This window comes from Homo sapiens, chromosome 1 (genome assembly GCF_000001405.40).
Source record: "Homo sapiens chromosome 1, GRCh38.p14 Primary Assembly".
Lineage (NCBI taxonomy): Eukaryota > Metazoa > Chordata > Mammalia > Primates > Hominidae > Homo > Homo sapiens.
The window spans coordinates 175377741-175394218 of NC_000001.11; the positions used below are offsets into that span (position 1 = coordinate 175377741).

General features: G+C 44.3%; 1 protein-coding gene across 2 annotated transcripts in view; it reads right to left on the minus strand.

The window, feature by feature from the left end:
- Positions 1 to 16478, minus strand: part of TNR (tenascin R) — a 428402-nt gene that overhangs the window by 62547 nt on the left and 349377 nt on the right. For both annotated transcript variants that reach the window (NM_001328635.2, NM_003285.3), the window contains exons 6-9: positions 16040 to 16155; positions 13548 to 13698; positions 8292 to 8561; positions 1812 to 1997 (exon numbers count right to left, since the gene is read on the minus strand). In NM_001328635.2, the coding sequence (NP_001315564.1) occupies positions 1812 to 1997; positions 8292 to 8561; positions 13548 to 13698; positions 16040 to 16155 (723 nt within the window). The remainder of the gene's footprint in view (positions 1 to 1811; positions 1998 to 8291; positions 8562 to 13547; positions 13699 to 16039; positions 16156 to 16478) is intronic.

Consider the following 16478-nt stretch of genomic DNA (forward strand, 5'->3'; position numbering starts at 1 on the left):
GCACTCTTTGCTGTGTATCCCTTGTCTATCAAGACAGCAAATACTTTTGCAGGAATCCAAGACACAAATTAAACAAAATCTCTGTCTGTGAGCACATTGGCAGCTCCTGGTCCATGACTGTTCTGCACAGCATCTCCTTTATCTGAAAACCACACCCCCATTTCCAGTCTTCTACTCTTTGGTGAGTTTGGGAAGGGAGGTTTTCTTGGATGGGTGAGCCAGAGGCCCCAGGAGTGGTGTTGCCTGGGTCTCACATTCCCAGGGGACAGGGAACACTTCCCAGCCAGGTATCATGGTGACCGAGGACACTGCCTTAGTCCATGCCATCATCATCTCCCTTTGACTCCAGCAGCAGCCTCCTAACCAGTCTTCCTGCCTCTGACCTTGCCCTTCTCTGTACAATCCAGTCATTACATCACCTTATTTAAAATCTTTCAATGACTCTCTGTTGCCCTCAAGAATAAACCTAAACTTTTCATCGGGTGCATAAGGCATGACTCGGCTCTCATTTTATCAGTGAATTCTTGCAATCCATGCCCAAGTCATAGTGAACTTCTGCAGCTTCATTCATTCATTCATTCATTCATTCATTCAGGAAATGGTGAACCCTGAGATTCAATGATGAGCAAAACCAAATATGGTGCAATGTTCACAGAGATTTAGGTGTAGGGTGGAGACTGACAGTCAAATAGTCATGCCACACATGTAAAATGATAACCTGAGGAGTGCTAAGAAGTGAATGGAAACTGGCAAGATGAAGCTGCCGGACAGAATGAATGGAACTCTCTCAGGAACAATATCAAATTTGACCACTAAAGCTCCCTAAAGTGGGGAGTAACCTGGGAGTGGAAAGGGAAGCCTGCATTGGCTAGATGAAGAGGTTCCCATCAGGCAGAGGGAACAGCATTTGCCAGTCCTATATAGCAGGAGGGAAAACGTATTTGAGAAATGGAAAGAAGCAGACTTGTGGGCCTGGAGCCCAGAAAACATCAGGGAACATGGGTGGGAGGTGAGCCTGGAGAGGGCAGGGGAAACCAGGCAGGGCCTGGTGTCCACACTAAGGGTCTGGGCTTATCCTAAGAGCAGTGGGAATTCCCTGGAATATCTGCACAGTGCAATGGCATAATCAAAAATGTACTTTGAAAAAGTCACTGGAAGGCCAGGTGCAGTGGCTCACACCTGTAATCCCAGCACTTTGAGAAGCCGAGGTGGGCGGATCACCTGAGGTCGGGAGTTTGTGACCAGCCTGACCAACATGGAGAAACCCTGTCTCTACTAAAAACACAAAATTAGCCGGGCGTGGTGGCAGATGCCTGTAATCCTAGCTACTTGGGAGGCTGAGGCAGGAGAATCGCTTGAACCCGGGAGGCAGAGGTTGCAGTGAGCCAAGATCACACCACTGCACTCCAGCCTGGGCAATAAGAGTGAAACTCCGTCTCAAAAAAAAAAAAAAAAAAAAAAGTCACTGGAGGAGGTGTGAAGAGTGGGCCAGGAGACAATGTGAGGGGGTTATTGCAATGGTTAAGATAATAGATGAGAACCTGGGAGACAGAGGTTGCAGTGAGCTGAAATTGTGCCACTGCACTCCAGCCTGGGTGACAGAGAGATTCCGTCTCAAAAAAAGGAGATGTTAGTAGCTTAGAACAGGTGATGGCAGTACAATGGATAGTACTAGACATATGTGCTAGGCACTTAAGAGATGAGATCAATAGGAATTGGCCATGGGTTTGTAAGATGTGTAGGTTGGGGAGACAGCTGTGAGGGTATAGACTCAGCAACCAGCATAACCCCAAGAGATAGGTCTTACTCACCTGTCAGGGTGGCCCTGGTGGTTGGACCAATGCCCCTGGGGACCAGTACCTCATGATATTGCTCACCCGCCAGGGTGCTGTACACAACCTTGTACTCCTGAACTTCGGCTTCACTGTTATCCCACTCGAGGTCAAGGCTGGTTGCTGTGCGAGAACCAACTCGCAAGTTCTTGGGGGCATCGATCTCTAAAAATAGACAGACATCACCAACATCGCACATGATAATGTAATGTACATTTGTGGTGCATCTTGAACTCTGAAAAGATTGGTGGTGACAGCCCACACCCCCTGACCCTCTGGCTCACATTTGAATGAACACTGTGGCTACCCTTAGCTTTTTGGTCTGCTGTGACAAATTCCTTGGGCAGGTTAGAGTGATACTTGGGAGCTGAAGATCAATACACTTTATGCTTCCCCCATTTCCATTCAAGAGTTCCAGTGGCATTCTAGAAACTTTAAAAGGAACCAGTCAACATCATAAGCTTAAAAACAAAACAAGGGAAACCCCAGGAGGAGAAAATCAGAGCCAGCTCCCGAGTGATGGAGATGGAATAGAACAATATCAAATTTGACCACTAAACAAAAAGAAGACTGTTGATTTCAAGGTTTTGAAGTGTAAGGTGCCTTCCTCTGTGTTTACTTGAATAAACACAGCTGTAAAGGTAAGACATATATGGAGGATGTGATGTAGCAGAAATAATATAGGCTTTGGAGTCAGGCTTCCGTTTGATCCCCAGCTCTGACATCTTTGGTAATGGAACCATGAGCAAGTCTTTTAACCCTGCTTGGCCTTGATGGCACCTCTGTAAAAGGGGCAAATCATACCAACATTTTCAGGTTGTTGCATGGATTAGGCAATCCATGGGCATCTGTACAAAAATAGGTGCCCAGCGCCTGTAGTCTCAGCTACTTGGGAGGCTGAGGCAGGAGAATGGTGTGAACCCGGGAGGCGGAGCTTGCAGCGAGCCGAGATCACACCACTGCACTCCAGCCTGGGCCACAGAGTGAGACTCTGTCTCCAAAGGAAAAAAAAAAAAAAAGGTGCCCAAGGCCTGGGCTGGCTTCCTGTTGCCTCTGAAGCTTTTCCTGAGTTCCATCAACCACAATGCTTGTTCTCTGCAGTTGCCACAAAGAGACGACGGGGACACTGCTTTTTTTCTCCCAGGACTGGCTATCTCCTCAAGCTGCTTTGGGCAGAAACAGCATAAACAACTTGCAGTGCAATAACGTGCTGCCCGGAACAACTGTCACTTAAAACGTTTAAAATAGTTCTTGCCTTTGACACTTGAATTTAACTTTGGAGTGAACTAGCCATTCATTGTGAGAAAACCTCGAGTGGACTGTTTTAATATGCAAAAGCAAGGCAAGTTTCCACCAATTGTTCTTGTGGAAGACTGAAATGCCGTGAATCAATGTGAGCGCAGAGGCTTTGGAGTGAGAAGTGTTCTGTTTAGCGATGTAAATTGGGTGAATCTTTTAGCAGATTTATGGCTCTGCAGCTTGTTTTCCTGAGAAATTCTTCCTCACTCACTGTACTTTAGCTTGCCAGATACTATGTATTCTTGACGTGTTATGTGTGTTATTTCTCCAGCAGTTGGATGGAGAGAGGAGCTTGGATAGAGAGGCATGTGGAGGAACACCTGCCCCTGCATTGTTGCCCCTAAATTTCATGCATGAGGAGAAGCTGGGCAAAGGGACTGGACTGGGCTTGGGGTGTGCAGCTAGAACTGAACTGGGGCAAAATTAATTTAGGTTTAGGGTTAAGGTTGAGACTTCTACCTAGTGCTCTTCACAACTAAAAACCCAGGCCTTGGAAATGTTAAACTATGGTTTTTGTTGTTGTTGTTGTTGTTTTGTATTTTTGATCATAGGGGTTGTGGTCTGTAGATTAAGGGGAAGTGTTGTCTCTGAAGGGACCAGATACCTCCAATGTCAATGATCCTGAAAGAAGTCAATCCTGAGAATGAGGTCTGGAAAGGTGGTTGTTAGAGCTAGGACAAGGTGAAATTGTTTGCTCCCTCTGGCCTTGAAGTCTGACCTCTAGGAGACTGGGGCCACCAAGGGCACCCCTGTAGGTGGGAGCTGTTCCCTGCAACGTCAGCAAGTCAAGAGCGAGGCAAAGACAGATGTCTAGTGGAGGCTGTGTGGAGAGACTTGAGACTATGGAATAGACATATCTAGCCACTAAAACATAAATTAGATTAAGTAATTCCCTTGCTTAAAACTTTTCTGTTGCTTCCTTTTACAAACTCCTAATTGTAGCCAGCAGGGCTCTGAGTGATCCGGCCCTGCCTGCTTCTCAGATATCTCCATGTACGACTTCTAAACTTATTCATTGCGCTCTAGCTATATTGCTTTTTTTCTGCTCTTGAAACTCATCAAGCTTATTCATACCTCAGGACCTTTGCACTGGCTTCTGCCTTTGCCTGGAATGTTCTCCAGATCCTCACATGGCTTAGGTCATCTAGGTCTCAGTTAAAACGTTACCTTTTCAGAGAGGCCTTTTCAAACCGCTTGATCCAACATGGCCACGCTTCTGTACCGTTTATTTCGCTTTTCATTATAGTACTCATAATCAAAATAATTTTGGGTGTTTATTTTCTTCTGCCTTGTCCAGTTTCTCCACTGGAATGTAATTAATGTGAACCAGGATCTTGTCTATCTGTTTATTCTGTAGCCTCAGTGCCTAGAATAGTGCTTGGCACCTGGTAGGTGTTCGATAAGCACACATCAAGTTGTAGAAAAGTCTTGTTAAATATTTCAGCTGTGGAGCATTGAGAATGCTTGGGGTGAGAAGGTGCAGAAAAAAGGATAGCTTTGACTGAGGGTGCTGGTCTTGTATGAGCAGGAAGTCCTACCCTGCTCTTTGCAGCCAGATTCTTGGCTGAGGTGCAAGTATCATCCAGGTTGAAATTGTGAAAGAATTTCCTGAAGAGTCCTAGAGCGGCATCACTGCCAAGCAGCTAGGGGCTTGAACTGTTGGGACTTGGAAGTTCCTATTAGTTTCCCAGGGCTGCCATAACAAGGTACCACCAACTGGGTGTCTTAAATAATATAAATTATTGTCTCTCTGGGCACGGTGGCTCACTCCTGTAATCCCAGCACACAGGGAGGCCGAGGCGGGCAGATCATGAGGTCAGGAGATCGAGACCATCCTGGCTAACATGGTGAAACCTCATCTCTACTAAAAATCCAAAAAGTAGCTGGGCATGGTGGCAGGTGCCTGTAGTCCTAGCTACTTGGGAGGCTTGAGGCAGGACAATCGCTTGAACCTGGGAGGCGGAGGTTGCAGTGAGCTGAGACCATGCCACTGCACTCCAGACTGGGTGACAGAGTGAGACTCCATCTCAAAAAAAAAAAAAAAGAAAAATTATTGTCTCACAGACTCAAGGTACAGGTGTCAGTAGGGCTGCTTCCTTCTGAGGGCTGTGAGTGAGAATCTGTTGCATGCCTCTCCTAGCTGCTAGTGATTTGCTGGTGATCTTTGGCGTTTCTTGGCTTCTGGAAGAATCAAGAATCATTCCGATCTCGGCCTTCATCTTCACTATGGTGTTCTTCTTGTGGGCATGTCTGTCTCTGTGCCCAAATTTCCCCTTTCTATAAGGACACAGTCATATTGGCTTAGGGCCCACTCTAATGACCTCATGATAACTGATGATCTGCAAAAACTCTATATCCAAATAAGGTCACATTCACAGGCATCAGGATCAGGACTTCAACGTCTTTTTAAGGAGCACAATTCAACCTATAATAGCAATAAAGAGAAATCTGGAGTATTCAGGTCAAAACAGCAGCCTCTGGTTGACCAGATGCCCTGGTGACTGTGCTTGGAACATTGAGGGATCTGCTTAAAGAGAAGGCCTCCAGAGGAGAGAAATGGTGCCAGGAGTTCCCTCCTGAGGGCAACTGAAACCAGAGCTGCTGAGGGCAGGGAGGGGTTTTGGAGATTGGCCTCTGGGTTTTCTAGGCTGGCTTCTCTCCAATCACCGGCCATGGTGCACTTTGTTCAGGGTTCTTTCCTTTTCAGAACAGCTCTAAGACCCAAGCAAATATCCACTCACCATGCAGGAAGCAAATCTCTGCTTTAATTGCCTGTGCAATTAGTGCACTCCTAGTGTCGGAGCCATCACCTGGAAAAGCACTTTGGTTAATTTGAATTTAAGCGGAGCTCTGAAATGACTGAGGGCCTCATCATGAGGGTCTGGGTACCCTCTCATCATTTAACTGGCACCTGCCAACCCAGGCCTGGAGAATCTGTCTGCAGTGCTGTTTGCATCTCCTCATCCCTTCTTTCCCCTCACCCTCCTCCAGCAGAGGGGAGCATATTTGAGGTGTAGGCTGAGGCTGTATTGAGAAGTCAGCCGCCTGACAGCTGCCAATCCACCAGGCAACTGGAAACAGAAAGCCATGTAGCAATGAACTGAAACTCATGGGGAGCTCCTAGGAGGCAGAATGTAATTGTCTTGATCAGAATTTTCCTGGGCCACCAGCCAATCCTGCTTCCATCTTGTCGACCTGAACACCAAGAATTTGTTTTCCATCATGCTGCTCAAGAGCTCTCCTCTCCTTTTTGCCGCTTCAAACTTCTTATCAGAGCAGAGCACAAAGAAACCACTTTTCAAACAAAACTATCTTGAAATTAAGAAAAGGATGCAGGACTCATTGTCCACAGAAGATACCACACCCCGGAGCAAGTGGTATTGTGGGGGTGGGAAATGAGAAGCTGACCTAGAATTAACCAAGAAGGGACGTGAGCATCTTTGGCTAAATGAGGAAGCAGAAGGGAAGAGAAATGGGCAGAATTTAGTTCATTGTTTCAAGATGCACATTCGGTCACTCCGGATTCCAAGATATGTTCAGTAAAAATCCCACTGGGCACCCCCTGGGTGACAGGGTGGCATCTGGCCCAGGCACTACAGAGAAAACCTAAAAGAGTATTTTTCAGAAATAAACTTTGCCTTCTCCATTTTGTCAGTGTCTGTACTTGCTCCTTTTTAAGGGGGAAGCTTTTCCCTGCCCTTGATGTTTCCTTCCTAAGGCTCTTGTCTCTCTTTTGCTGGAGAAAATGAGCTTACCTAAATGGTGAGTTTTGCAGCAAGGCCTGGGCATTGCCCTTCTGTTCCCCTCTCTCGTGGGACAGGCTGTTCCGAGGGTTCAGGCACCTACTTGTTCCTCTATGCTCTAAGTCCTAACCTGGATAGTCTCCCAATTTCTGCCATATGGAGAGACTTGCCTAGGTCCACAGTGGCCATCCAGTTTGCAAACCCATCTGGCCATGACACTAAGTTACATGCTGCAATCTAGGGGACATTTTGGTGTCCATCTGTTTCACTTTTTCCCTTATTTATCAATTGATTTTAAACCCAGCGGAACACAGGGGTGTTATTTATTTATTGAATCTTCTTGAAAACCCTGGACTCATTCCATTCTGTAGCAGGCTCTTATGCCACAGTCTAAGGTAGAATTCTTGAATTAGTGATTCTCCAACTTTATCCCATCTGAAGATGCTGGTTCTTAGATCTTACAGATGTTATCAGTTTTCATTGATCCCTGGGTCAACTTGGAGTTGGCAGAGATATTATTTGACATGTGACCACCCCAAGGCAAAGAGGATGAGACTGAGAATCCAGAAGACAGACACAATCACTAATCTGATCACAGGCCCTTATTGACCCAATTGAGGGTGCCAGAAAGCCTGTCCTTTGGATGGTGCCTGTCCTACTAGCCCACTAGCTGGCCAGACTGATGGGCACTGAGAGAGTCAGGGAGCAAGTCACCCCGAGGTCTGGCCTTTCCCAACTGTTGGCAAAGCTCTTTAAGAGTCCCAATGGCCTTGAGAATGTGGGGGTGGGTGGTAATCAAAGCAAGGCAGGTTTTATATGGGCTTTATGAACTTCCTGTCTGTGGGAGTCAGCCTCATATTAGCCTTACTGCTAGTGCTTACAAACGGCAAGGTGAGTCACAGAATTGGTCAGAAGTTCTGCTTAGAGTTGTACAGGCTGGGCTTAGCATAATGCCAATGCACATCATCATGGTGGTGTAGTCATCGTAGGTTTATAGAATTATTATGATAATTTCCAGCAAATGGTAAGAATGTGTCTTGAGAAAGAGACACCTTTCCTGAATTCTCACAAAATTTCCATTTGGACTAGCGATATGGATGCTTACATGTGTTCAAGGCAAACTTGTCATTTTACAAACGGGAAACCTGAGGCCCATAGTGGGGAAGGATTTATATCAAGCACAGATCTGGTTGCCAGTAGAGGTAGGATGAGAAGCTAGTTTTCCTCTCCTAGTGAGGGAGCGCTGCTTTTCCTGTATGCTGGAAACCTCTTGCTTCCTTCTCGCGGTGTCTATGACAAGGCCAATGCTCTGACACACCTTGCCTCATTCCTAATACTCCTCTTGCTGTGATGACACCACCGGTTGGCTCCACCCCTCTTTCCCTCCTTGTGCGTCTCTCCCCCACCGCAGCCTTACCTGTTGTGAACTGAGTGGTGGCAGAATCGCTCTCGTTGGTCCCTCGGACGGCACTGACTGACACCTCGTATCGGGAGCCAGGCCGCAGGGCCTGCACTGAGTATTGGCTCAGGGGAGGCTGCAGCCGGAAGGTGGTCCTCCCACCTTCCCCGCCCACCAGGCCATATTTCAAAAGAATGAAATCGACTTTGGCTCGAGGGGGAATCCACTCCACAAAAGCCACAGTGTCCGAGACATCGCGAACCAGGATCTGCGTGGGGCCGTCAATGACTGAGTGAGAAGGATCAAACAGAACAAAAAGTTTGAATGAGAAATAAGCCTTGGGTGTCAGCTCTCTCTTTTCCTCCTTATGGAAGTCTGGTGAGTCAGAGAGAGGATGGGTATTGTTACTGCATTTTACAGATGAGGAAAATGAGACACAGTAAGATGAATATCTTTCCTGAGGACATGTAGTTTGCCTTGATTCCCCTGAATTTTGGTCTAACTGCTCTTTTACCAGGCTGTAGTTTCCAGGTGATGGCACTTCCCAGTCTGGGCAGGGGAAGGGCACTTGCTGGCTTGAAAGAGTCAGCCCTGTTTCTTTCTGGAGGTCATGGGACAGGGAATTGAGAACTGGGTTTCTGGCGTGTGTCTGCCACTCAGCTCTCACCTCTTTGAGCCCTGAGGAAAGACCTAGGAAATGACCAGCCCACCTAAACATCCAAGACTTCCAGATTGGTTGCCAAAGAGGTCATCATGAGTATTCAAAAGATGTCCCTGCTCAGCCACTCTAACAGCACAGTCAACACAGTTGCTAAGACCATTTAAAAACCAACAGACATTTGCATATGAGGACATGAAACATGCCTTCTGGGTAAACTTGCTTCTCTGGATAAAAGGATAAAAAGGACCCCAGCTTCGGAACAGCCTCTTACGGGTCATTTTTCTCCATCTGTTCTTGCATATTTCTACAGCAGAAGGACATTGCAGTCACCTCTTCCAGGTTCTCTAGTGTATTTCCCTCATAAGCCCTGGCCCCTGGCACTGTGCAGGTCAGGGCAACACCTGGAAAGCTGGTTGATTTCCTGCAGGGCCCACCAGCTGTGGCTCCAGCACCCACTTGAGGTTCTGTTCATACTGAATTAGATAATGGGGAGGTGAGGGAATGTAGAAGAAGAAAGAAAAAGAAACAGCCAAGTGAGGAGAATAGGAAATGGTCTTCTCAACTTCTCATGGGATGTCTGCATGGCCAACATGCTCTTGCCTCCATGTTTTCATTTATTATTGGGGCTACACCCTTCTGGCTGGAGCTGATTATTAATGTTAATATTCTTTAAGGATTTGGAACTAAAACCAGAACTCTGGTTCTCTAATTAGCCTGTGTTGGACCGTGCAGAGCCAGGGCTGGTGTGGCCATTTTCTACCATTCTGATACTGATATAGAAAACATTTGATCTGGAGAAAAGGGGAAAGAGGGAGAAAAGGAAAGAGGGAGAGAGAAACCAGTGGCCATGCAGAGCTTCTAGAAAGATATATGGAATAACTTGATTCCTGATGTTCCATTTTCTGGTGCAAGTCTTTTGTGAGGCCCAGATGCATTTCTGGTCCTGGGATTCCCATGAGGCACTCTATGTCCTTCCAGTAAATTCTCTCTTTTGCTTCAGCTAGTTTAAGTAAGTCTCTCTTCCTTGTTACTGGAGAGCCTTGGCTAAGACTTGTTTCTAACCAGTCCACTCTGGCCCACCTCCTACTCTGTCTCCAGAATGAAGTTTCTCCCTCAGGGCCGTCTTAGGCTGACCTTGAGGCTTTCAGTTTTTCAAGGTTGAGCCTTTCCCTGGGTACCCCTCCCTCTTTCCGGGTCTTAGCCTAGTCCTGTCCTCTCTTAAGCTGCTTAGGGCTTTTGGTCCAGCACCAGCTAAAATGAAAATCACCAGACCACTTGGGTGCCACCTGGTTTGGACTTAAAATGAAGTCCTGGTTTTCATATTTGAGGTAGTAATGTGATTTAACAGAATATATCCAGTTTCTTTTCAGCATGCTGCACTTGGTGGTTTTAGATAACTTAGGCCTTTCACATTTAATTTAAATTAATTATGAAATGGGGGAAGTGGCCTCCTAGTTGCTGTGTAAGCATGATATCTGAAGCATAGTAGACACTCAGTAAATGTGTGTCGAGTAAATGAAATGAATGGAAAATCTTCTTTATCCATGAGAAAGAAGGGGAAGCATTTCAATAAACTGGAGCTTTTTGGAAAAAAAAAAAAGTGTCAGGGAAATGCAACTGACCACAAAAAGCTTTTGTCCTTCAACTCTTTAAATCCAGAAAACCCGAATCATAATGGATTGAACATATTAAAATGTGATTATGTAGCGCAGAGGGTTTTAGCTGTGGGAGGTCTTGTAATTTGCATTCACAAAATGGCCTGCCTAGAAGAAGGCAGCCTGAGTGCCTGATGAGGACACAGAGCTTCGCAGTAGGGGGTTGGTGTAGGTCAGACCTTAGCAGAAGGAAATAATTAAACAATCGTTTCCTAAAAACAGCACACAGGATTGGGAGCCAACCGTCTATTTTGTAGCCACTCTTGGATTCTGCCCTTTGTTGGCCACTTGGTAGCAATGTTCCATTCCAATCAAGGAGGTATCAACTTGCTTTCAGCTTTGGTCCTAATTTCTAAACAAACACAATCCCTGCTCAAAAAGTAAACTGGAATAAATGTCTTTCCATTTCTTCATGACTCTGTAGATGATGCCAAAATATTAAGGACATTTTTTCTTAAATGAAAATAATTCTGCCTAGCTTTACCACAAATTTCTAGATCTGGAATTTTAATTTTAAACTTAAGGAACTGCCAAACCAAAAAATACTGCAAATGTTATAAGAATGTGGTTTGACTATAAGACAAAGTTGGACTACCTTCTCCATGTTCTGTCAATATTCTAGGAGAAAAATATTCTTCAACTGCAATGTTTTCTATCCTCTTATGAACCATCTTCTCCTTTTAGCCTTTTGTCTTTTACTAATACTTTCTTAATATCAAATCACAGGAATAACTTGGGCACCTTGTAACATTTCATATCAGAAGAGGAGAAGCTGCACCTGCTATTGTTGGGCTCATCACAGACACTCCAAAATTTGGCACCTTGGTGTGCTGAGTACTTTGAATTAAAGAGGAATGAAAGAGCCTCAGAAACAGCCCCGGAAGCAAGCAAGGTCTTTCTGACCATCTGCAGTCCTCCCATCTCCTGACCCTTCTTCTCCCTTTGAAGTGATTCACAGAAATCAGAATTCCTCTTCCTCAGGGCAGGTAATAGAAACTAGAACTCCTTTTCCTCAAAGCAAGCCATAAAACCTAGAAAGGTAACTTTTTCCCTCCTCCCTTCTCCCTTGAGGACCCTCATTCCAGTGAGGTCTTGTCCCACAGAGGAGGTGGAGAAGAAATGCTTCACAGAGAGGCCAAGAAGAATCTGGGCAGACAGGCCTTGCTGGGTCTCCCCCTTAGACTATTACCATTAGATCATAGCCATTTGTCCAATTACGTTTCTACATGGCTGTCCATTATTCCTCAAACCTAAGCGTAAAAACAGACAATTTCCCCCAGGTCTTTGGGTCTTCATTTCTGAAGGCTCCTTTGTCATGTGAAACTTTGATTAAATAAATTTGTTACGCTTTCTCTTGTTAACCTGTCTTTTGTGATAGCAGTGTTGTTGTGATGCTTATATGATGGGTGAGCAAGGGCATCACACCTTTCTGCCCCCAAGTTATCGAATGTCAACTCTTCAGGTTACAGCATAACCTTGGAGCTGTGGAAAACCTCAGCCACCGGCCTTCTGGAGGGATTCCTACAGAGCACTGTAGCTTTTATGGTTATGGGGTTTCTTCTAAAACATACTATTTAGAGCAGAACCATGGTTTGAAAGCTTTTTGGGTGGTAAACTTATTTTTTAAAGGACAAAAATCTTAAATGGATGTACAAAATATAAAACAGATCAAAGTGGAGCTGTCCTGGTTGGAGGCATGAAAGAGGGAGTAATTAGAGGTCTGGCTTTCCACTGGATTCTAGCCTCAAGGCACTGCCATAGAACCTTGGTGCACTAATGGAACACAAGCTACTGCCACAATAGTTCTGAACCAACGTTTTCTAAACTGAGCTTAAGCCTTGGCACCTGATGCTGTTTGGTTTGGATTCAGTAGCAGAGCATGAATCACTAATCTATAAATGTGGTCTCATTACATTGTGTTGTGGTTCTCATCTCTGGTCAACTCAGCCTTTTGTCCTGGACTTAAAACTGGCTTTCTGGTACATCAATTTCTGTTTATGAAAAACACATAAAGCTGTACCAATAGTCACCTATCTCAATTTCTGTTACTGACAGAGAAAGTTGCTTAGCCTCTGAGTTTCAGCTCCATCAACAATAAAATGAGAACCAAAACTTATGCCAGATGCTATTTATAACTTTCGAGACATTCTTGGTGAGGACACACACACATTTATACATCACAATAGCTAATTTACAGCATTGAAGTTGAACACTCTTTGTTAGCTGAGGATACAATAAGGCAAAATATGACAATTAATGAATCAATCCTGGAAATATAATAATCTTGAATGAGGTGATCTGTGGGATGAAATAATAATAGACTTAAGCCATCACCTTGAACAGTGACCCAACCCATACCTACTTATTTTTGAATGACTTGTTTCCTACCACTTTCACTTCTGAGTATGTTCTGAGTATATGTGCGTATACCAAGTATTGAGCACTCACTCTCATCAGCACAGAGCTGATTGCTTTGTGTGCTTTATCTAATCCCATCCTCATATTAACTTAATGAAGAAGGTATTCTTGTTTATCATAAATTATTCTTGCTTATCTTGTAAAATAAATTGAAGTTTGGGAAGGTTCAGATGACTTTCTCCAAATATCATCATAGGTAAGAATGAGTCAGCTCTTGCTGCTTCCAAAGATCATTGACACCAGAGGCTGACAAATGAGTGTTCTTCATGAGTAAGATCAGCATAAATACAATGGAAATATTAAAAAAGAATTGTCTCCATGAAACACTCTCCCAGATGACAGTATTTGTAAGGATGAGTAATAGGGAAGATGATGAGCTAAGCATCTGGTAGAGTAGCTCCATTGCCAGGTACCAGAATTGTCCCAGCTCTAGGAGAAATTCTAGCACCTCTGTTGTCTCTCCACTCCTTGGGCAATTCTGTGGTTCTTTTCCAAGTGACCTAGTAGGCAGCTCTAGGGAGAAGGGTTGGAGGCACTCACCTGTGGAGACGCTGGCCGAGGTAGGGGGGCTGCGGGCCTGTTCTTTCAGAGCCACCACATTGACAATGTATTCCTCCCCAGGCTTTAGTCCTGTCTGGTTAAAGGACGTAACATCGCTGGGGACCTGAGCAATCACTCCCCCTTCATTGTTCTGGACAGTGGGGAGAAGCAGAGAGCAAAAGAGAAAAGTCACTGGGAGAGAAATCTGATGAGAGAAAGATAAAGGTGTGGAATACTAATTGTGGATTGTGAATTTAAAATGGGGGCGATGTCTCTTTCCTCCATGCTGACAGCTGAGTATCTGGGGCCAGAAATAACTCCCCATAGACTCCATAAGAATGACACCACCCTATGAGGATTTGGCAAATGGAGGATCAATTTTTAAGAACATTTCTTTGGCCACTCCTGAGTTTGCTGAGTTTGCCAATAAAAATTAGTGATGAGGTGGTGCAGATTGGCTCTTGCCAAAGATCAAATGTTTGATGGTTGCGGTTAACATTCATCAGAGGTTTTTGGCATTTATCGTAATGAACATGCCCCCGGCTATTTAGGAGAGGATAGTCATGTGTGTTTGTGTGTAAACATCTTTATATACACACACAACACATTTCAAACTAAGACATTGCTATGAGATAATTGTTTATGAGCCAGAGCTAATATTTTGCTATATCTGGAGTTTCTCATGGTGCTACATTCGGTGTGAATCTGTCGATGTCTTGTTTCCCCTTCACCCAGATGAATTAGGACTCAGTGACACAACCACATATGAAGTACAAAGAAAGGAAAAAGGAAGCTTGGAAAAAGATAATACAAAGAAGAGAAGAAGGAGACAAGAGGGAGAGGGAATGAGAAAGAGTAACTTGACGAAATTGAATCTAGGATTTATTATCTATCTTTCTATCTTATCGTTCCCTCTCTCTCTTTCCCTCCATATACTTTCTATGAGTGTCCTTAGAAATGGAGGAGACAAGAGGGCCTCTTTTGGAGGGCACTGCCATTCTCCCCTATTCTTTGGCCTCTATTTATGGTACCCAGGGTGCCTTATATGTAATTTACAGTCATACTCTTATAAATCAGTGTGATGAATGCTCCCCAGTGGCCTCAACCTACAGATCACAACAGTTATTAAACCATGTGGCCATGCATTTGACCTTGGCATTCCCTGGTCAGCCTCTCTTTTAATTAGAGTTTTACATATTGGGTATAGGTAACAGGAGAACCTGGCGTAATTTTTCTTCCTGAAAAACATTGGTAGCAATGTTCCATTCCAATTGACATGATCGTTTCAATTGTTATGTAACTCAATTGCCACATTTTATTTATCATTTTAACTCAAATAGGACACATTTGTATAGATGTCTGTTTAGATTTATTTACCTTGCTGTGATGTGACTATAATATGACTGTAAATAAGAAAATGGGGCATACAGATTTAGTGAACAGAGCCCCGGGATAGGTGGTGGGGACCCAGGTACTCGTTTTAAGCCTGTCACCAACTAGCTGTATGATGTCCTTCAAGTTTTCTGAATCGTAGTGTCTATAAATTAAACTAAACTAGATGTAAAATGAGGGGTCGTACCTGTGAACTTGAAGGTCTTTTGTAACTCCAACAGTTCACAGCTCTAAGAATTTTGAAGTAAAAGAATGGTGAAATCATGGTCTTGTTAGCCAAAAATGTGTCATTTGTCATTAAGTCTGATGAATGGCTAAAAAATGTTCTTTGATGTTGAAGAATAAAGACAGAGGGAAGGAGTATAATTGAACTTTATATCCTCATGAGTGGTACAGTTAGGGAGGACATTGGTAGGGTCAACAAATTCTGGAAATTTAGAGCCAGGCATACACCTGTGGCAATTCGGAAAAGTTAGTTTTAGAATTAAGAAAATAAATAAAATACTGCTTTAGAGAGTAGAAAGGAATCTTAGGATACTTTAAAAGTCATAGACTAATAAAAAAGTTGCTAAATTAATAGGATACAAATGTATTATGAATAATCCAGGAGAGCCAAGGTGTTTTGTTTTATGTCTGTAACCTTTAGGGATTGATGCCATGCAAGCTGACTTTTCTGTGGTGCATCTGTCTGCACAGAATGAAGCTTTTGGCTGATTATGTGATGGATTCAGCCTGGCTTTTCTTATGTCCTAAAGAGAAGCCTCAATTTTTTCAGGGTCTGGTTTTCATGCTCACCAAAACTATGGCTCATCAGACCCCAGAGTTATCTCAGCAGAGAGCTGGAGCTGGTGGCTGCTTCCCACATCCTCTGTTCTGCAAGGCCAGGGTGCCATGCTCAGGGCTACTCTTGTCAGCAGGTCGTTACCACATATTTGTCACAGAAATGTTCTATATCCCAGACACCCACAACATGCCATTTTGTGTCTTTAATGGCATGGAGAGAGATATTGGGTAGCACTTTCCTTGCTGCCCCTGATTCCAAGCTAAAGGTACAAATATTCCAAATAAGTCTGTTTGGCAGTGTAACAGGTGAGTGTTACCTTTGGAATGAAGCTGATTTCCCACCCATCGAAGGAAAATGAGAAGGGCTCCCACTGCACCTCCACGGTGGTCTCTGTGATCGTCTTAAATTGTAGCCCTTGAGGAGTGGAGAGATCTGGAACACAGCAATGTAGGTGACAATGTCATGGCTAACCCTTGGGACAGACAGCATTGCCTGGTGCTTTGTCTTGGTGAACTCCCTCCACGCCATGGGCGTGGTGGTGTCTGGTGGACAATCCCAATCTTGCTCCAGACACAGTGAGTCCCAGGTGCAGAATCAACCCACCCCATGTGGCTCTAGTGCTCGATGTTGATGGAATACATGAGTTAACTTAAACACAATCTATATAAACAATTTTTAATGCTTTTTATTGCATTAATAGGTTACTATTAAAATGCAGACATCATTTTTCTTTTCTTACTAATGTGGTAGATCTT